Consider the following 19,132-nt stretch of genomic DNA (forward strand, 5'->3'; position numbering starts at 1 on the left):
CTCGGAACTGAGTCAAAGCACTGTACAACAAGCAAAACAATCAGCATGAGTTTTCACTTGCGGGCAAGGGCAAGAGAATACAGAATCCAGAAGCTCAAAAGTGAATGGGATGTCCCGGAAACTAAACACTCATTGAGAGCACCATTTCCTGGTTTTGTTTTTGTTAGTTTCTTCTGCTTTCTCGTTAATTTTACAGGTTTCCCTTCTCTCTTTAGAAGCGGTTATTTGTCATTAAACATTCTTCCTGTCTAGCTGTCACCGTTTTTCCTTAGGAGTCCTCCTGTCCCCACCTCCTCACCACCACTCCCTCTCTTTTCATGTCCTGTGGATACTCTCACTCAAGCCACCTGATCTGCTGTGTGGTCGAAGTAGGTGACCAAGTAGTGTTGGGCTCTTTCCTGGTATCACTTGAAGGTGTGGCAAGGAGAGGGAGGTGGTGGTGAGTGGTGGTAAACTGCTCATTTTTCACTTTTCAAAATGGAGTGGAAAATTGAGAGCCGTTTGTCTTCCCATTTCTCCTAAGCTCCAGTTATGGGCCCACAAATAAGGACATTTTTCCAAAGTGCTTTATGAAGGTTCAACTCTTTTAGTAAAGTGTGTTTATTAAGATCTCACAAATATTGCATTTTTAATCACGGTTATAGGCATATGGGATAGCGCAAATTTATTTTAGGGATTGCTAAGATTAAAAAAAAATACTCCTCATGCAAATAATAAGTATTTGTTTTTGAGTGCCTTGTTCTTTTTTTTTTTTTTTTTTTTTTTTCCGAGATGAAGTCTTGCTCTGTCACCCAGGCTAGAGTATAGTGGCACAATCTCGGCTCACTGCAACCTCTACCTCCCCAGTTCAAGCAATTCTCCTTCCTCAGCCTCCAGAGTAGCTGGGATTACAGGCGCCCACCACCACACCCGGCTGATTTTTGTATTTTTATTAAAGATGGGGTTTCACCATGTTGGTCAGGCTGGTCTTGAACTCCTGACCTCGTGATCTGCCCGTCTTGACATCCCAAAGTGCTGGGATTGTAGGAGTGAGCCACCCCACCCGGCCTGTTTTTATTTGTTTTAAATTCTTGTTTTTTCTATAAATTCTGAAGGTAATATTTTCTCATAAAACAACATCAAAATCGTAGTAAAATAGAAAAAGAGCCCCCTCCCCATTCCACTCCATGTAGTGTAACTTCTGTTGATGTTTGGGTTTGTGTTTCTCTAATCTCTATGTGTATAACACAGACAGTTTTATTGTTTTAAAATTTGAATGGTTCATATCATACTAGTATTCTGAAATTTATTTTTCTTTAATATTTTTCAAATACTTATCTGTCAATATATACAGATTTTTTTTTAAATGTGTCTACCCAATGTAACCAGCCAGTGTCCCTCAGAATATTCGCTTGGATTTTTCAATTTCTAAGTATTACAAACAATGATATGAATATCTATGTACATTATCTTTGCATGGGTACTGCTGAATATTTATTCTGAGAAGAGAATTGTTGGCACCAGGGAGATGTTTGATAGATATTGCCAAGAGCCTTTCTAAACACCCACAGTATATTTCTTGTACCATGCTTGCCAACACTATATAATAATGATTTATTTAGAATGTTGTCAATCTACTGTTGAAAAATTGATTCCTCATTGTTGGGAATTATATAAACCAGTCCCAGAACATCTGACTTGGGGAGTTCGGGAATTTTTCTTTAAAAATATAATAAAATGGGAATGGAATTAAATACACTTGAATATACCATCTTATTCTGAGCTTGTAAAAGAATCTACCGCATTTGTTACTAACTATCCATTTACTGAATGGCTGGAGATACTGATACATGATAATGAGCATTTCTAGATTGCAAACATGTGGACCATGTTTGCAATAACAACATGTTGCAGTTGTGATTTTGTGGTTTGTAACTACATGTTTTCCTTCCAAAGAGAAGATTCACACCCCTAGGGCAAAAGTATGATTTTAAATGAGGTGTTATAGCTCTGGGTCCTTTAAAAAGTTATCCATGCAAATGAAACTGGGTATGTTGTTGAAACAAACACAGTCTTGCAATTACTTCTCTCCACCATCCTCAAAGGTATTTATACCTATTGGTGTCAGTCCTGACACTCATATAGAGACATAAGGAACTCTGCAAATATGGCTTACTCTTATTCTTATGTTTTAAAGAATACGCACGCACACACACATATAGATCAGGTAATTCTTATTGAATACTTAATATGCACTAGGTACTATTGTAGGCAATTTATATGCCTTTTGCTTTTTAGATTCTTATAACAATCCTGTGCTGTTCATATTAACATTCTTCCTACTTTACAGACGGAAAAAGTGAACCAGAGAGAAATGAAATAACTTGACTAAGGTTACACGTTTACATGGGATAGAGCTGGGGATTCAAATGAAGGCACGTCAGCTCTAGGTCGTGAACGTAACTATGGCTGCTCCATGTCCTCATTGAGTTGCTTGCTGCACAAAGGTGCCTAACTGAGCAGAGGAACGGTTGAAACCTTTACACTACCCACAAACCAAACCATGTCCCTTTGTTCTTGGCTGAATATTCCCTGGGGAAGGCACTTTTCTAGGCCACAGAATATCTGTAAGAGGTATCAGCACCCTTGCTGCTGTTGGATAATTTGTAGGAGCTACACAGACCTATTGGTTTCCATATGTATCTTTGTAACTCAATACTATTTACCTACTCATTATGGGTAGAACTTAAATAACAGATTTGCCTTATTGCCTGTTCTTCCCTACCTTATATTTTAAAACATGTTGACAGAGTATGCTCTTTACATGATAGAATTAGCTGATAACATCTGATGTTCCCCTGAAAACCTTTTATTTTATCAAGATGGTTTCCTGGAAAACGAATAGGGAGTTCACTTTTTTTCTTTTTGTGTGACACTCAACATTTTGAAGAACATGAAGGTCTTTAAGGATGACTAGCTTCATGGGAAGCTGCGTGGTGTATAAGTCACAAGGGCAGGCCTCGTTGTCAGATGGCAAGGTTTACATCCCAGCCCAGTTATTCACTAAATGGGAAGGGAGGGGTGCTTGGGCAACCTATCCTCTTTGAGGTCCAATTTCCTCATTTTTGAAATGTTTGCAATTATAATACCTATGCCATATAATTGGTAGGGTAATTACATATGCTAATCCATGGGAAACATTTAGAACAGTGCCTGGCACATTGAGTACCAGGTATGTGTTCTGTGTTGCTGTTCTTATGGTAGAGTGAGATAATGCATCTACAGCACTGCTTGACTTGTTGTAAGTTCTTAATAGGTGTTACTTGTTTTTATTGATCTTCTCTCTAGAGATTATTATATTTATATACACAAAGTACTTATAACTTCAGAAAATTGTGGACCGCTGGAAACCTGTCCAAGCCCTCTAATAGGCCTTGGAGATGTATTGATGAATAAGAAAGAGAGTCTCTAATTTCTTGGAGCTTTCAGCTAAGCAGTGTAGAGAAAAATCACACCAAGTATAGTTCCATGGCTGGAACATTGGCTTTGGAGTTATTCCTACCTGTGTGCAGATCTCAATTCTGCCGCCTGTCAGTTGTATATCCCAGAGCAAGTCATTTAATGTTTCTTCAGATTAAATAGCTATGAAATGAGAAAATAGTTCTTACTTTCAAAGTACATATGGATAAATTCTTGCATTATTTAAATTAAGCATTTTGTCTGTTGAATGTTTGACACTTCCTACACTCTATTTCAGTATAGAAGAATCATATTTATAAAGGATAACAAAAAAATTGACAAGAAATCTAGGCAGCTTTTCCCCCATCTCATTTAAAAGTATCATTATTTAATAGTAGGATATCATTTAAAAGTATGATAACACCTGGATCTGACAATTTAATGTTTTAAGTATTTTGAATCTTTGTTCCCGTGGGCTTATGCACTGTCTTGTGCTTTGCTTATGCTCTTGGCTGACTGAAGATTATGGACTGTGTTTTAGAATTTTTTTTTTTGCATTTTCTTATTTCAGACATCATAGTTACAGGTTCCAAATAAAGTTAATATATATTATTTTAGCAGGAATTAAGTTATAGGGTCTCTACACGGTACCTGGAATACAAATATAAGTATCACTGCAAACAGTGATAATCTACCTTGAAGACAAACATAAGGTGACACTATTATATTAGGATAACAGATAATTATAATTAGTATAATACCGTGGAAAACAGAAGCAAAAAGGGTACATTTAGCTTGAGTAGCCTGGAGATATTTCAGGGAAGTGTTAATGACTTCTGATGAGAACTTGCTGAGTAGAGAAGAATTAGAAAAGTATTTGGGGCAGAGGAGATCAGACTTGCAGTAGGAATAGTAGCAAGAGATGAAGTGGGGAAGGAACACTGGGCCAGATTCTAACAATATTGAATGTGGGTAACAAGGATTGGACAATGTCTGCAAGGCACCGGGAAGCCATCACAATCTTTAAGCAGGTTGAGTTAAGATTTTTTTTCTTAAGATTGACTGGCAGCATTTTGGAAAATGGGTTAAAGACAGAAAGAAAGGGAGAGGAGAGGAGGACAGGAGAGGACAAGGGAGGGAAGGGGAGGGGAAGGGAGGGGAGGGGAGGGGTGGGGAGGGGAATAGTGAGAACTACGATAGTGGCCAGTGGCAATGAAGGTGAGAAGACATTAGAATCTGTAGGTTTCAAAGGTATTTAAACTGAATTGATCAATTATAGAATATGTAAGATGAAGGAGTGAGAGAGATTGAAACTGACCTACATTTTTATATTTCTCAGCAATGACTTAGAAACAACTCTTTCCTAAAGTTCTCCTGTCTGGCTGGGGATACCTATAAAAAAAAATTATTGGCTGGGTATGGTGGCTCATGCCTGTAATCCTAGCACTTTGGGAGGCTGAGGCGGGTGGATCACTTGAGGTCAGGAATTTGAAACCAGCTTGGTCAACATGATGAAACCCCACAAAAAAATGAGCATGGGCATGGTGGCGGGCGCCTGTAAGCTCAGCTACTTGGGAGGCTGAGGCAGGAGAATTGCTTGAACCTAGGAGGCTGAGATTGCAGTGAGCCGAGATTCTAGCATTACACTCCAGCCTGGACGACAAAGAGAGACTTTGTCTAAAAGATTTAAAAAAAAATAAAAAAATTATTATTCACCATGCTAAGTATAATTGTTGAGTCCTGGGGAAGTATTATTAAAACCTAGTGAAAAGCCAACTCACTTTTCCTGGAGTAGGTTAAGAAATTAAATATAAATTCTTTATTTTTAAGTCAGGTTTATTGAGATATAATTTGCAATCAGTAAAACCCCTTTTTATGCATGTGCTTCAGTGAGTTTTGACAAATGTATGTAGTTTTGTAACCATTACCACAATGAAGACAAAGAACATTTCTGCACCCATCCCCCTCAAACTCCCTGTGCCTTTTTGTAATTTTTCCCTCCACTACACCCCAGGCAACCACCGATCTGATTTCCGTCATTAATGTTGCCTTTTCCAGGATAATATATAAATGGAATCATATACTATGTACCCTTTTATGTCTTTTTTTTTAATTTAGCATAATTATTTTGAGATTCATTCATCTTACTTTGTGCATCAGGAGTTTATTCCTTTGGGGGAGAAAAAAAAACCTTGGATTTATGAGGTGTTATTGACATACCATAAACAGCGTATATTTAAAGTGTACAATTTGAGAAGTTTTGATATATGTATATACCCATGAAATCACCACAGTAAAGATAGTGAATATAGCCAACACCTCCAAAGGTTTTCTAAAGCTCTTTTATACACTCTTTCTCCTGTTCCTTGCATTCCCTTCCTTCCCTGTCCCAAAGCAACCATTGATCTACTTTCTGGACCTGTAAATTCATTTGCATTTTCTAGAATTTTATATCCATGGGGTCACGCAGTATTATTTTGTGTCTGGCATATTTCACTCAGTGTAATTATTTTGATATGCATTTATTTGGTTGCATGTATCAATAGTTGTTTTTAAAAATATTTTTTGCTAAATAGCATAATGTTGTATAGATATTCTGCAATTTGTTTATCCATTCACTTGATGAACATTTGGCTTGTTTCCAGGTTTTGGCTATCACAAATAACGCTGCTATGAACTTTCTTGTATCAAGTCTTGGTGTGTACACTTACATTTGTCTTATATGATTACCTAGGAATAGAATGGTTGGATCATAGGCAAAGAATTACCAATCTGGTTTCCAGAGTAGTTGTCCCATTTTACATTCCCACCAGTAGGGCTTGAGAGTTTCAATTTCTTTACAGCCTAACCAACACTTGGTATGATCAGTCTTCTAATTTTAGACATTCTAAAAGATATAAGATATTTCATTGTGATTTTAATTTGTATTTCCCTAATGACTAATGATTCTGAACATCTTTTCATGAGCTTATGTAACATAAATGATTATCTTTGGTGAAGTTTTGTTCAAATCCTATGCAGTCCCCTTCTTTTAAAAACTGAGTTGTTTGTTTTTTTTCATTATCAAGTTAGAAGAGTTCTATATATATTATAGATATCAGTCCTTTTCAAGATATGGGTTTTGAAAATATTTCTCCCCACATGAATTTATTCTTATACAAGGGATAGGATTTGATCAAGAGAAAAAGGGTAAAGATATTATATTCATAAATGGGAATAGCATGTACAAAAAAAGAAATAAAAAATTGGATTTATGAGGCCTCAATATGGAGTAAAATAGAAAAAGGTGATAGAAAATGAGTTTTCAAAAATAAAGAGTAGCCTGAATATAAAGACTTATGGAATTTAGACTCTTTTTGTGAGCACCAATACTAATAAATATCAATACAACAACAATAGTTATACTAAGAATTGAGCATTGCAGTTTATAGAGTGTTTTTATATACACGGTCTACAGTGTTTCCCCCTGGATCAATTTGCTTTAGTCCTGTGACAACTATGTGAAGGCGCAGAGACTCGGGGCCATGTGAAGTCAATATCAAATATAGGTTTTTGGGGTTTAAGCCAATGCCTTTTCAACCAGTGTGTGCACGTGTGTGTGTTGGGGGGTGGGGGGCATGTATATGTACATTTAATGGAGTGTGAGGAAAGAATGACAGCTGGATTGGTCTACAAAGGCTCAGAAGGGCACTTTCCCAATAGGGCAGGGGAGAGTGTCCTGCTGAGCTCTGGCAGGTGGTACAATAGGTTCTGATAAAGTTTGGGTTGTATACCCGTACTTTAAAAATGACAATTCACAGTTATTATAGAATGGTTCACAAAAATTTCAAAATCTCAGAAGATATTTTAGATTCTGTGAATTTTTTTTAGTTGTCTTTTATTTGTAACCTGACCCTAGATAAATAAAGTAAAATGATATGTTAGTTAATTTGTTAAGACAAAAATAATGTGATCAAGTTCTTTTCTTTATTTTTAATTTTGTTGTTTTATTTTTAATGTCTCATGGGAATTCAAAGAACTTACTTTTTCAAACACAGTCCTTTTGTTCAGTATATTCTGATTTCATTGTCTTGCTCAGGGCTCTGCCCTGACTTTTTTCTGCATACGGCTGACATGCAATTAGAACATCAGATCAACTTCGGAAACATGAATAAAAATTACCTGCTGAATAGACTCATGATTTGGACATTTTCTTTTTTTTCTTCAGTTTTTGAACTTACTTGGAAGCTTTGAAATGTCCTGATTTGCTGTGTTTTCAAAATTTTCACCCATTTTTAACTCCTATAGGTTCTTTTTATGGTAAAGTACCAGTGGCTTATAACCGAGAGAAACTGAAGTCTACTTGCCAGTGTGTGGCTTCTCCATATTAAAATGCTGTACCCTTAAAAGGAAGGTAAAAATGATTTTAATAGTAATTATGTTTAATATGCTCATACACATTACTGTATGTTATTTGTGCCTCTTTTGTGTGATCAGTTCAAAATCACTTTAAGAAAACTGCTGAAGTATTGTACAGCATGTCTATGTAGACTTCGCATGGGACCTGCCATTTTCTCACAGATAAACCTAGAAGGCTTGAGCTTCTTTTAAAATAAATTTGCATAATCATTCTGTTTATGTTCATATTACTTAATTAGTTTGGGGTGATGAAAAACACATGCAGGTTTTGGAGTTAAATACACGTGATTCAAGCCTGCAGCTTTGAGCATGTTAGCAAACTTCCTGAAGCTCTCCCTACCCAGTTTACTGTACATTGTGAGACATAAATAAGATGACATTTAAAGTGCTCAGCATAGAGTCTGGCAAAAGGTGGATGTACTTAATAAATGTGTAATTGCTTGCTATCTTGACTCTTCTTTATATTAATATTTCTATATATTTATTCCGATTACTGTAGGTTTGGTACACACACATACGAGCATGTGCATGGTCGCACGCGTGTGCGCACACACACACACACACACACACACGCTGCTGTGACTAGTCAGCATTCTGTTATTTTTATTTTTTATAGATGAGGGTCACCCAGGCTGAAGTGCAGTGGTATGATTATAGCTCACTGTAGCCTCAAACTCCTGGCGACAAGTCATCCTTCTGCCTCAGCCTTCTGAATAGCTGGGATTACAGGGAGTTAACATTTATTCAGTTTATGTGTGCTAGATACTAAATGCTTCACATATATTAAATTGTTTAATTCTTTCAATAACTCTATACGGTATAAGATATTGTTATCTCCACTATGCTACTAAGGAAACTGAGTCAAGGAGATGTTATGAATACCCAGTGAGACTAAATAATTAGTGTAAGCATTAAATAGGAACCAAGGCCATTCGTCTCCAGAGCCCAGTTTCTTCTGATAATAACTTAAATACTAATAAGGTCTTATGCTATTAATCTCATCTCAGTTTTTACAGTATCTTCTAAAGCTAAAAATGAAATAAGGTAATTTTATTTTTCTCCTTTGTGTTCTATCAATTATTTATATGAAGCATATGAATGATTTCACTGAATTCAATTTGAGCATCTATTAGGTGAAAATAATTTAACTGATATTTCATGTGTAAATAAACAATACGGCAGATTGACTTCTGAGACGTGTTAGAATAGATTTTGTAAAACCCTGAACATGAAATTTTAATTGAAACTAATTTATGAAATCAGGAATAAAAATGATAATAGTCACATATTTGATCAAATAGAAGCTGGTGCTTATGGTATTAATTTTTATCTAGTTTTGCACGATAAATTTTGAATACTTAGTTAATTATAAATGTGTGTGTGTCTACACACACACACACACACACACACACATATATTTTAGGTAGGAGTGTTAGTTTGCTAGGGCCGCCATAACATAATGGGCCACGTACTGGGTGGCTTAAATAACAGAAATTTATCTTTTCACAGTTCTGGAGGCTAGAAATTTAAGATTAAGGTTTCAGCAGGCTTGGTGTCTTCTGAAGCCCTTCTCCTTGGCTTGCAGATGGCTGCTTCCTCCTGGTGTCCTCATGTGGCCGCCCCTAGATTGGTGTGCTGTCTGTGTCCTGATCTCCTTTTATAAGGACACCAGTCATATTGTATGAGGGCCCACCAACTTGACTTCATCTTACCTTAGTTATTTCTTTCTGAGGTACTACTGGGGGTTAAGACTTTAACATATGATTTTGGGAGGGACACACAGTTCAGCCAATAATAACAGGGCAACCATAAAATGGTTTTGTCTCATTAGAAGCTTGGATGTTTTAAATCTTCCTTACAGTCTATGCATATATTTGTTTTCGACTATCAATTAAATCAACTCGGTTCAAACATCTAGAATCAAAACCATTTATGTTTACTTGTAGAAAGCTTTCCTCTCTCCTAACAGTCATATCCTCATCCACACTTTCCTCATATTTGGCCTTAGTATATTCCCCCTTTGACAAGTCCTTCTGGCTAGGACAAATGGCAAAATTGATGTGGCTTGAGGATGATATCCGGAGTCACTGAATATATAGAAAGAAGAATCTTTCATGAATAACCTAGTGATAAGTCTCTCTCTCTCTCTTTTTTTTTTTTTTTTTTTTTTGAGATGGAGTTTCTCTCTTGTTGCCCAGGCTGGAGTGCAATGGCACGATCTCAGCTCACCGCAACCTCCGCCTCCCGGGTTCAAGCGATTTTCCTGCCTCAGCCTCCCGAGTAGCTGGGACTACAGGCATGAGCCAGCATGCTTGGCTAATTTTGTATTTTTGGTAGAGGCGGGTTTTCTCCATGTTGGCCACACCGACCTCGAATTCCTGACCTCAGGTGATCCGCCTGCCTCGGCCTCCTGAAGTGCTGGGATTACAGGCGTGAGCCACTGCACCTGCCTGTGATAAGTCTCTTGTTTTTTAAAAAATAATTTTTGCCTGCTACTTATGTACAAACCACTATTTTCCCATCATGGCCTTTGAGTCAATGATAGTGTTTTGATTAAATAGCAGCAGAGGGAAGTTCTGTGGACATGCATGTTTGTGTCCCTGAGACTATCAGAAGTTAAACAACAATGCCAAAGTAAGCTGAACTCCAAAGCAAGGCAGATACTGTGTTTGCATTTGGGAGAAACCGTTTTAAGTATTTCTTTGAGGCTTTTGTACTCTGCTCGGTTCAGGTCCTCATACAGGCATTTATGTATCACCTTAATTTATAAATGGTGAGTTTTAGTAGGAAGCATTGAATTTACACAAACAATAATCCAGAGGCTACTAAACTGGGTACTTCTCTTGAATCAATGGAAAGAAAAACACAGCAAAGCACCCTTCATGCTGAGCAAAAGTTTCAAGATGTCAGACCCATTCCGAGGGACACTATCTATGGTGGCTTCCCCTCTGTCCTGTTTGAAAGAGATAAATACACATAAGCCTTTAAGATACAAAGGGCAGTTTCTGTATTTGAAGTTATGCATTACACTGGTGATTTCAGAGTTTCTCAGGTAAAATCCTAACAACTGTGATTGCAGTACAAGCTCCATGATTCACGCCCACCAACACTTCAATGTCACTGACAATGTAATTGCAGCTCATGGATGTTTAGGAGAGTGTGCTCACTCCAGTGCGTCTGTTTTAAAACAGCGAGTGATTAGTTGTGTTATGGCTTTAGCCATCTTGCAATAAATGTATTAGGAACAGTGGTTTATTGATTTAGATAAATGTATCAGGTCCTAGCTATTTAACTTCTTTGTGCTTTAGTTTGCACATCTCTAATATGGGATACTACCACTTAACTTTCATAGGATTCCTGAGAATCTTCAGTTGAACAACATATATAAGACAACACTCAGCACCATTTCTGGCACTTGGTAGTTGCTTAACCAACTGAAATATTTTTTCGCTATTATTTTTAATTTCCTCTTATGATATCAGAACTAGGTTAAAAAAAAAACTCCCAATTTTTTGCTTAAATCAAAAGCCAGGAGTCTTCTTAATTTCTGTCTTCTCCTTACACATCTTATCTAATTCATCAGTAAATTAGAGATCTGCCAATATTAACTTCAATTGGGCCTCACATTTTCTACTTATCTTTATCTCTACTGCTGCTATGTTGTCTGAGCCAATTGTGTACGTGGACAACTGCTGTAAGTCTACGAACTGCTTTCTCCGTAACCACATTGCTCCCTTCAAGGAGGACATTCTTAAAACTTAAATAAGAATATGTTATCTTCCTGCTTAAAATCATCTGATTGGTTTCTCATTGTACTAGGAATAAAGTCCAGACTCTTTCTTGCGGCCTATGAGGTGTTTGACGTTCCGGCCTCAGCCGTCTCTCTTTTACCTCTTGCAACTCTCTTTGACCCCTGAAGTTTTAGTCACATCTGAGTTTTCTTCATTCTCCTCTAATTAGTCAAGCTGTTTTTTATCCCAGGGCCTTCCTTCATCATTTGTGTTCAATATTCCTTCCAAACCCTTCCCCGATCTCCCACACATAAACATCATATGAATATATTTTATCCTTTAGTTCTCAGTTTCTGTGAGTTTCCTCTGATTTGTACAGGTGTCTTTTTTCATATTTATTGATGATTGGAGATAACTGAGTAGACCCAGCTGACTGGGAGGTCTCAGCAGCAGACGGTTGAGTGGATATTGTCACAGAAGGCCAGGCAGCAAGAGGAGAAAGGAAATTAGGATGCCGAGTATTTAATGAAGCAAAACAAACAAAATAACTCTGACTCATTCTTTACATATAACTTGAAAATGTAAATTACATGACGTAATTATTTTTGTTTAGATTAAGATATGATGATTACTAAGAAGTGCTAGTTGAGGACTCTAAAGCAGTACTGGACAATGAAAGTATAATTCAGCCTCATGTGTACTTTTAGTTCTCTTATAGCCACATCGCAGGTAAGTAGAAACAAAGGAAAGTCACTTTAATAATCTATTTTATTTAACCCAATATATTAAAAATATAATCATTTCAATGTATAGCCAATATAAATGTACAAATTATTAATGAGAAAAAACAAAGCAAGCAAAATTATTAATGAGATCTTTCCTGTTCCTTTTTCATGGTAGGTCTTGGAAATCTGTGCATTTTACACTTGCAGCACATCTCACTTTCTCGCAGTCACAGTTCAGAGCTCTGTGACCACATGTGGCCAGTGGCTACCTAGTTGGTCAGTCCAGGTCTAAGGGTTATTTAAAGGAAGTTTAATCTGCACCATTCCTTTATCATCTGGGATGACTTTTTATTCAATTTTGTGACAATTTAACTTTGAATTGGTTTTTTAGATTAGATATACCAGCTTTCTATTTTCAATGACTTTTAAATAGATGTATGGGAAAAATATTTTCTGGCATTTACGAAAAACCTATCATCTCTATCTTAATTATGTTTGAAGATAAATAGGGTTGACAGGGGTTAGTTTACACTGGAGAGTTGACAGTGCTGCTAGAGTTTCTGCAACTTTTAAGATTTATGTAAGAGGCAGTTTACACGGAAATTGCACATGCAAGTGGTTCACAAACTTGAGTGGGCATCAGAATCAGCTGGGAAGCTAGTAACTCTGAAGATTTTTTGGCTTCACCCCGGGACTCAGTAGGTCTAGGATGGTGCCGAGCACCTGCATTTGTAGCAAGTTTGCAGGTGCTGCTCCTGCTAGTAGAGGCCACTGCTGGCATAGACCATCTCGTCTCTCCACATGCACGGTGCACGTGGAGATTGCCTTGAGCAACAGGGCATGTTTTTCTTCTTTATATGGTTGATGATGCAGACCCTGGAAACTACTCTTTTTTCATTTGTTTGTTTCTATGTGTGTGTGCGCGTCAGGTGGAGGGTAGATGGAGAAAGTTACTTACCTGTTCATTATGCTGTTGTGTTCTACTTTGAGAAAACAGTAGCAAAAGAACTTTAGGGGAAAGATAACAACAAAATAAATTTCAGAGAAGGAAACTGAGATCAGTGGGCAATACAAGCTCCCTAGTGACTATTCCATATATCTTACTACTTATGCTGTGAGGGGCGGGGAAATAGGAAGGTATTTTACCTTTACAGTGTCTATTTTCTAGGTCCAGATGACAGACTATTAGTGAAATAATAATAGCTCTGTTGAATACTCAACCAAAAGCTAGTATTTTCCCCACAGTAATTTATCTGTTTTCTAGCCATTATGATATCCACTAAGTTCTAAGTGTTAAATTAGCTTTTAGGCTCACATGGAAATAAGTACCATTGTTTATATGATCAGGGCAGTGCTTGTTCAGCTACTGTTTCATGTTGGATTTCTGCAAAGCTGCAATTGTGTGAATCAGGCCTCAGTGAATACTAGGTAAAATTAATGTCAAATTTCTAAGTGATGAGGAAAATCATTATCAAAGTAAATATATTAACTTTGTAAGGCTATAGATTTTAAGTTTTTTTAAATAAAGGCTAAATTTAGGAAATAATCCAGTGAAATTAATCTTTCCTCCTCATGTTCTCTGAAAACTTATTTCTCTGCTGCATTATCTTTTTTTTTTTTTGAGACGGAGTCTCACTCTGTCACCCAGGCTGGAGTGCGGTGGTGCGATCTCGGCTCACTGCAAGCTCCGCCTCCCAGGTTCACGCCATTCTCCTGACTCAGCCTCCTGAGTAGCTGGGAGTACAGGCGCCCGCCACCATGCCCCGCTAATTTTTTCTATTTTTCACTAGAGACGGGGTTTCACCGTGTTAGCCAGTATGTATTATCTAATATTTATTGAGCATTTATTATTTACAGGCACTGCTCTAAATGCTTTATCAGCATTAATTCATTTAGTCCTCATAACAAGCTGATAACTATATTATTATCATTCCGATTTTACAGATGGGTGTTACACAACCAGTTAGGAGCAGAGATGATATTCTGCTGGGCTTAATTGCAATATTATATCTTCCTCTGTGAGATTCAGCTGTCTTAATTTGTTCTTTCAACACTTGGTCTTTCTTCCTTGACCTCCTATTCCATAAACTTGTACCAAACTATACATCCATTTGAAATATTTTTGGCCTGGAATTTTGTTCCCTTTTCCATAATTTTATACTTTTTTCTCCCTCCATGCCTTCTCTAAGTCATTCACCTTATCTGAAAGTATAATCCCTCTTCTTTTGGCTTAGCTCTGCCCTTAATAACATTTTACATTAGTTAGCTCTCATAACTCTCAGTATATTTATGACTTTTCTTTATCTTTTTTTTTTTTTTTTTTTTTTGAGATGGAGTCTCACTCTGTTGCCCAGGCTGGAGTGCAGTGGCACGATCTGGGGCGATCTTGGTGCACTGCAACCTCAACTTCCCGGGTTCAAGCAATTCTTCTGCCTCATAACTCCGCCTCCCAGGTTCATGCCATTCTCCTGCCTCAGCCTCCCGACTAGCTGGGACTACAGGCACCCGCCACTACGCCTGGCTAATTTTTTTTGTATTTTTAGTAGAGACGGGGTTTCACCTTGTTAGCCAGGATGGTCTTGATCTCCCGACCTCGTGGCCTGCCCACCTTGGGCTCCCAAAGTGCTGGGATTACAGGCGTGAGCCACCGCACCCAGCCATTTATGACTATTCTTAATTATAAAAGCAGAAACAGAACATTTAAAGAATTTTTTAACATGAGAATTAAATCACTATCCAGCACACATATACTTCCTTCTTTGAAACTTTCTGCCAAGTTTCTTTCTTTTTTTTTTTTTTTTTTTTTTTTTTTGATAAGGAGTCTCGCTCTGTCTCCAGGCTGGAGTGCAGTGGGGTGATCTTGGTGCACTGCAACCTCAACTTCCCGGGTTCAAGCAATTCTTCTGCCTCAGCCTCCCGAGTAGCTGGGACTACAAGTATGCATCACCACACCCAGCTAATTTTTGTATTTTTAGTAGACACGGGTTTCACCACGTTGGCCAGGATGGTCTTGATCTCTTGACCTCGTGATCCGCCTGCCTCGGCCTCCCAAAGTGCTGAGATTACAGGCGTGAGCCACCGCACCCGGCCCTGTCCAGTTTCTTATGTGTGTGTGTTTGTTGGCAGGTGTATGTTTTATATTTATTCACTATGAGTAATTTGTATATGGATTTTTACATTGATTATTGAATTATTTTTTCCTTATTAAAGTAATATTTAGCATTATCTTCTTAATATCAAATTAAATGTTCGTTAAATAGAAATAATACAATCTATCTAACCCTTTTTAAAATTTTTGTACAGGTTGAGAGTGTTTATTAATACAGCATCTTAAATTTTTTACCTTTATTTTTTAAATTTCCATTTTTATTTTTGATTCAGGGGCCACATGTGCAGGTTTGTTACAAGGGTATATTGGATAATATTAAATTTGGGCTTCTATTGATCCCATCACTCAGATAGTGGACGTAATACCCAACAGGAAGTTTTTCAGCTCTTGCCCCTTTCTCTCCCTCCCACCTTTTGGAGTTCCCAGAGTCTACTGTTCCTAACTGTATGTCCATGTCTACCCAAGATTTAGTGCCCACTTATAAGTGAGAACATGCAATAACTGGTTTTCTGTGTTTGTGTTAATTTGCATAGGATAATGGCCTCCAGTTGCATCCATTCTGCTGCAAAGAACATGATTTCTTTCTTTTTTAAGTGGCTGCATAGTATTCCATGGTATATATATATGCCATATTTTCTTTATCGAATCCACCATTGATGGACACCAAGGTTGATGCCATGTCTTTGCTATTGTGAATAGAGCTGCGATGAACATACAAATGCATTTGTCTTTTTGGTAAAATCATTTATTTTCCTTTGAGTACATACCTAGTAATGGGATTTCTAGGTCAAGTGGGAGTTCTATTTTTAGTGCTTTGAGAAATCTCCAAACTGCCTTCCACAGTGACTGAACTAATTTACATTCCCACCAATAGTGTATAAGCATTTCCTTTTCTCTGCAGCTTCACCAACATCAATGCAGCCTATTTATTTATTTATTTATTTATTTATTTATTTATTTATTTTAGACGGAGTCTCGCTCAGCCACCTGGGCTGGAGTGCAGTGGTGCAATCTCGGCTCACTGCAACTTTGTCTCCTAGGTTCAAGTGATTCTCCCGTCTCAGCCTCCCGAGTAGCTGGGATTACAGGCACCTGCCATCATGCCTGGCTAATTTTTGTACTTCAGTGGAGACGGGGTTTCACCGTTTGAGCGAAGCTGATCTTGAGCTCCCGACCTCAAGTGATCCTCTCGCCTTGGCTTCCCTAAGTGCTAAGATTACAGGTGTGAGCCACCGCGCCCAGCCCAATGCAGCTTTTAAAAAATCAACTTATCTAGTATTAACTTCCAGAAGTTAATTTAGTGAGTCAACAAATTAGCCTTTTTCTGGCTTTTAACATATATCCTTGTATTGCTTTTAAATGATTTTTTTAAGTTAATGGTAGCCAATCTTAATCATACACACAAATTTTTACATATATTATATAATATATGTTATATATATAATATTTATATATATTATATATTTTTTATATATATACACACTTCTGTAACCATTGCTATGCCACATAGGAAATTTCCAACTACCCAAAAGTATCACTGGGCTCCTAACCAGGCAAAGATTAATTTCGCCTATTTTACTGTCTTGCTGTGTATTTTTCTGTTGTTCTCTGGTATGCCATTGGATGAATATGCCACAAATAATTTACCAAATCTACTGTCGATGGTTAATTGGGTTTCCCGTTTTAGGCTATTACAATAAAGCTGTCTTGAACATAGTTTACATGTCTTTTACTGGACTTGACACTCCTTTCTGACGGGTATATTTCCAAGAGTGGAATTACTGGACCATAGGGGATACATGTGTTTAGCTAATATTAGTTTTTTAAGGTATAAAATCTATTTAAAATATAAATGGAAATATTTCTATTTTGTCAATTGGTAAGAATATTACACTATCATTTAAAAGGAGATAGATCAAATAATTTAGAAAAGTGGTAGCAGAGTCTAGAAACAACTAATTCCACTTGCCTTTGGTCATTTCCTTTCTTTCCGTATAAGCTTACTGTACATGCAACTATATAACTATTTTTTCACAACAATATATTCCTAAGTTTTTAGACTTTTATTGTCATACTGTTTTGGCTGTAAGCACCCTTCACTTCCATTCCTCGTGGATTTCGCTCATGCCATTTTGTCTGTCCAGAATCACATCTTCCCTGATCTCTGTGTTTCTCCATTGCACTTCCTCTAGACTTATCGTACTTTTTATTTAACTAAGATTATCAGAGCAATACATTTTAAAGAACTTAAGCTATTCTTATAAATTATCTCTTCTGGTCATCTTATAGCATAATTTTCTCTAAATTAAGCAGACACTTCTTTTATATCTTCTCTTATACCTCTGAACCAGGAAGTGAACTCAGAAAAAATTTCCTTCAACACAGGCTTTCATTTGTTTGTTAGGGTGTGCCGGCAATAAATATTTTCTCTCTGGGACACCTAAATTATAGCCACTGTTTTAACCTTAATAATATTGTTGAGGTGCAGACCAGACAATGTTTCCATTATTGCAATTTTTATTTATTGGAGGATAAAAGGTTGTTTAGTGAAAAGAGAAGGTGGGAAGAGGTAATGATTGGCAATTCTTATTTATTGGAGGATAAAAGGTTGTTTAGTGAAAAGAATAGATGCGAAGAGGTAATGATTGGCTAAGTACTATGGAACTCCCTGACACTGATCGAATTATGTTAATGTTTAGTTCGTACTTGGGAGTATTACAGTCGCTTGTTAAAACTCCATTATGTAACTCCATTTTCAGGCCTGGGATCATGATGGGGTTAGGGATAAATACAATGATTAATTTTTAATGCAAGGCAATAATCAGATTTAAACATTTTAAATCTGTGTATTCTTTTTGGTATTGTTTTTTAAGTGGTTTTAGTTTTGAAAAAAGTTTTAGTTAATGTTCAATGATATTGCTATTACATGAGAAGTGAGGTGATAATAAGTAATCTTTTTAGACCAGTATTATCAAAAATTTACAGCATACCATGTACTGGTTATTTGCAGGTATTCTTTTACTCATGATCTCTCTGTATTTCTTTGAATGCATGTTACCTTGTGAGTATCAGTGAGTAGGCTGTGATGTTGAACATCTGACAGGCATCCAGACTCTAATTAACTGTTGAAATAAAAATATTAAAAAATTAAGAATAGGCTAGGCATGGTGGATCATACCTGTAATCTCAGCACTTTGGAAGGCTGAGGCGGGTGGATCACTTGAGGTCAGGAGTTCAAGACCAGCTTGGCCAACATGGTGAAACCCAGTCTCTACTAAAAATACAAAAATTAGCCTAGTGTGGTGGCACCACCTGTAGTCCCAGCTACTTGGGAGGCTGAGGCAGGAGAATTGCTTGAACCTGGGAGGTGGAGGTTGCAGTGAGCTGAGATTGCACCACTGCACGCCAACCTGGGTGACAGAGTGAGACCCTGTCTCAAAAAAAAATAAAATAAATAAAATAAAATAAAGACTATCTTCTCATCTAGTATAGTACTTTACAGATAGCGAATGCCTTGTTAAGTATTTGTTGAATGAATGAATATATATTAGTATAATAGGTTAAATTGTAATAAGCCTATGTTTCTTTGATTTAGATAATAGCAGGGTATATTGAGAAAAATGTGGAAAATAAACAGAATTTATATACTAGCCCTATAAATGTATATATATGTTATGTGTATTATATCAAATAACTAATATTTTATTAATGCAAGTGAACCCTGAAGGTTT

General features: G+C 37.0%; 1 protein-coding gene across 7 annotated transcripts in view; it reads left to right on the plus strand.

Moving 5' to 3' along the window:
• HNF4G (hepatocyte nuclear factor 4 gamma) overlaps positions 1–19,132 on the plus strand; it is a 159,186-nt gene that overhangs the window by 1,090 nt on the left and 138,964 nt on the right. For 3 of the 7 annotated variants that reach the window (XM_047421737.1, XM_017013376.3, XM_047421738.1), the window contains exon 1: positions 768–7,831. The exons of the other annotated variants lie outside the window; for them this stretch is intronic. The gene's annotated coding sequence lies outside the window, so the exon portion shown is untranslated. Of the gene's footprint in view, positions 1–767; positions 7,832–19,132 lie in introns of those variants that run through there. 7 annotated transcript variants of the gene reach the window in all.

This window comes from Homo sapiens, chromosome 8, assembly GCF_000001405.40.
Source record: "Homo sapiens chromosome 8, GRCh38.p14 Primary Assembly".
Classification (NCBI taxonomy): Eukaryota; Metazoa; Chordata; class Mammalia; order Primates; family Hominidae; genus Homo; species Homo sapiens.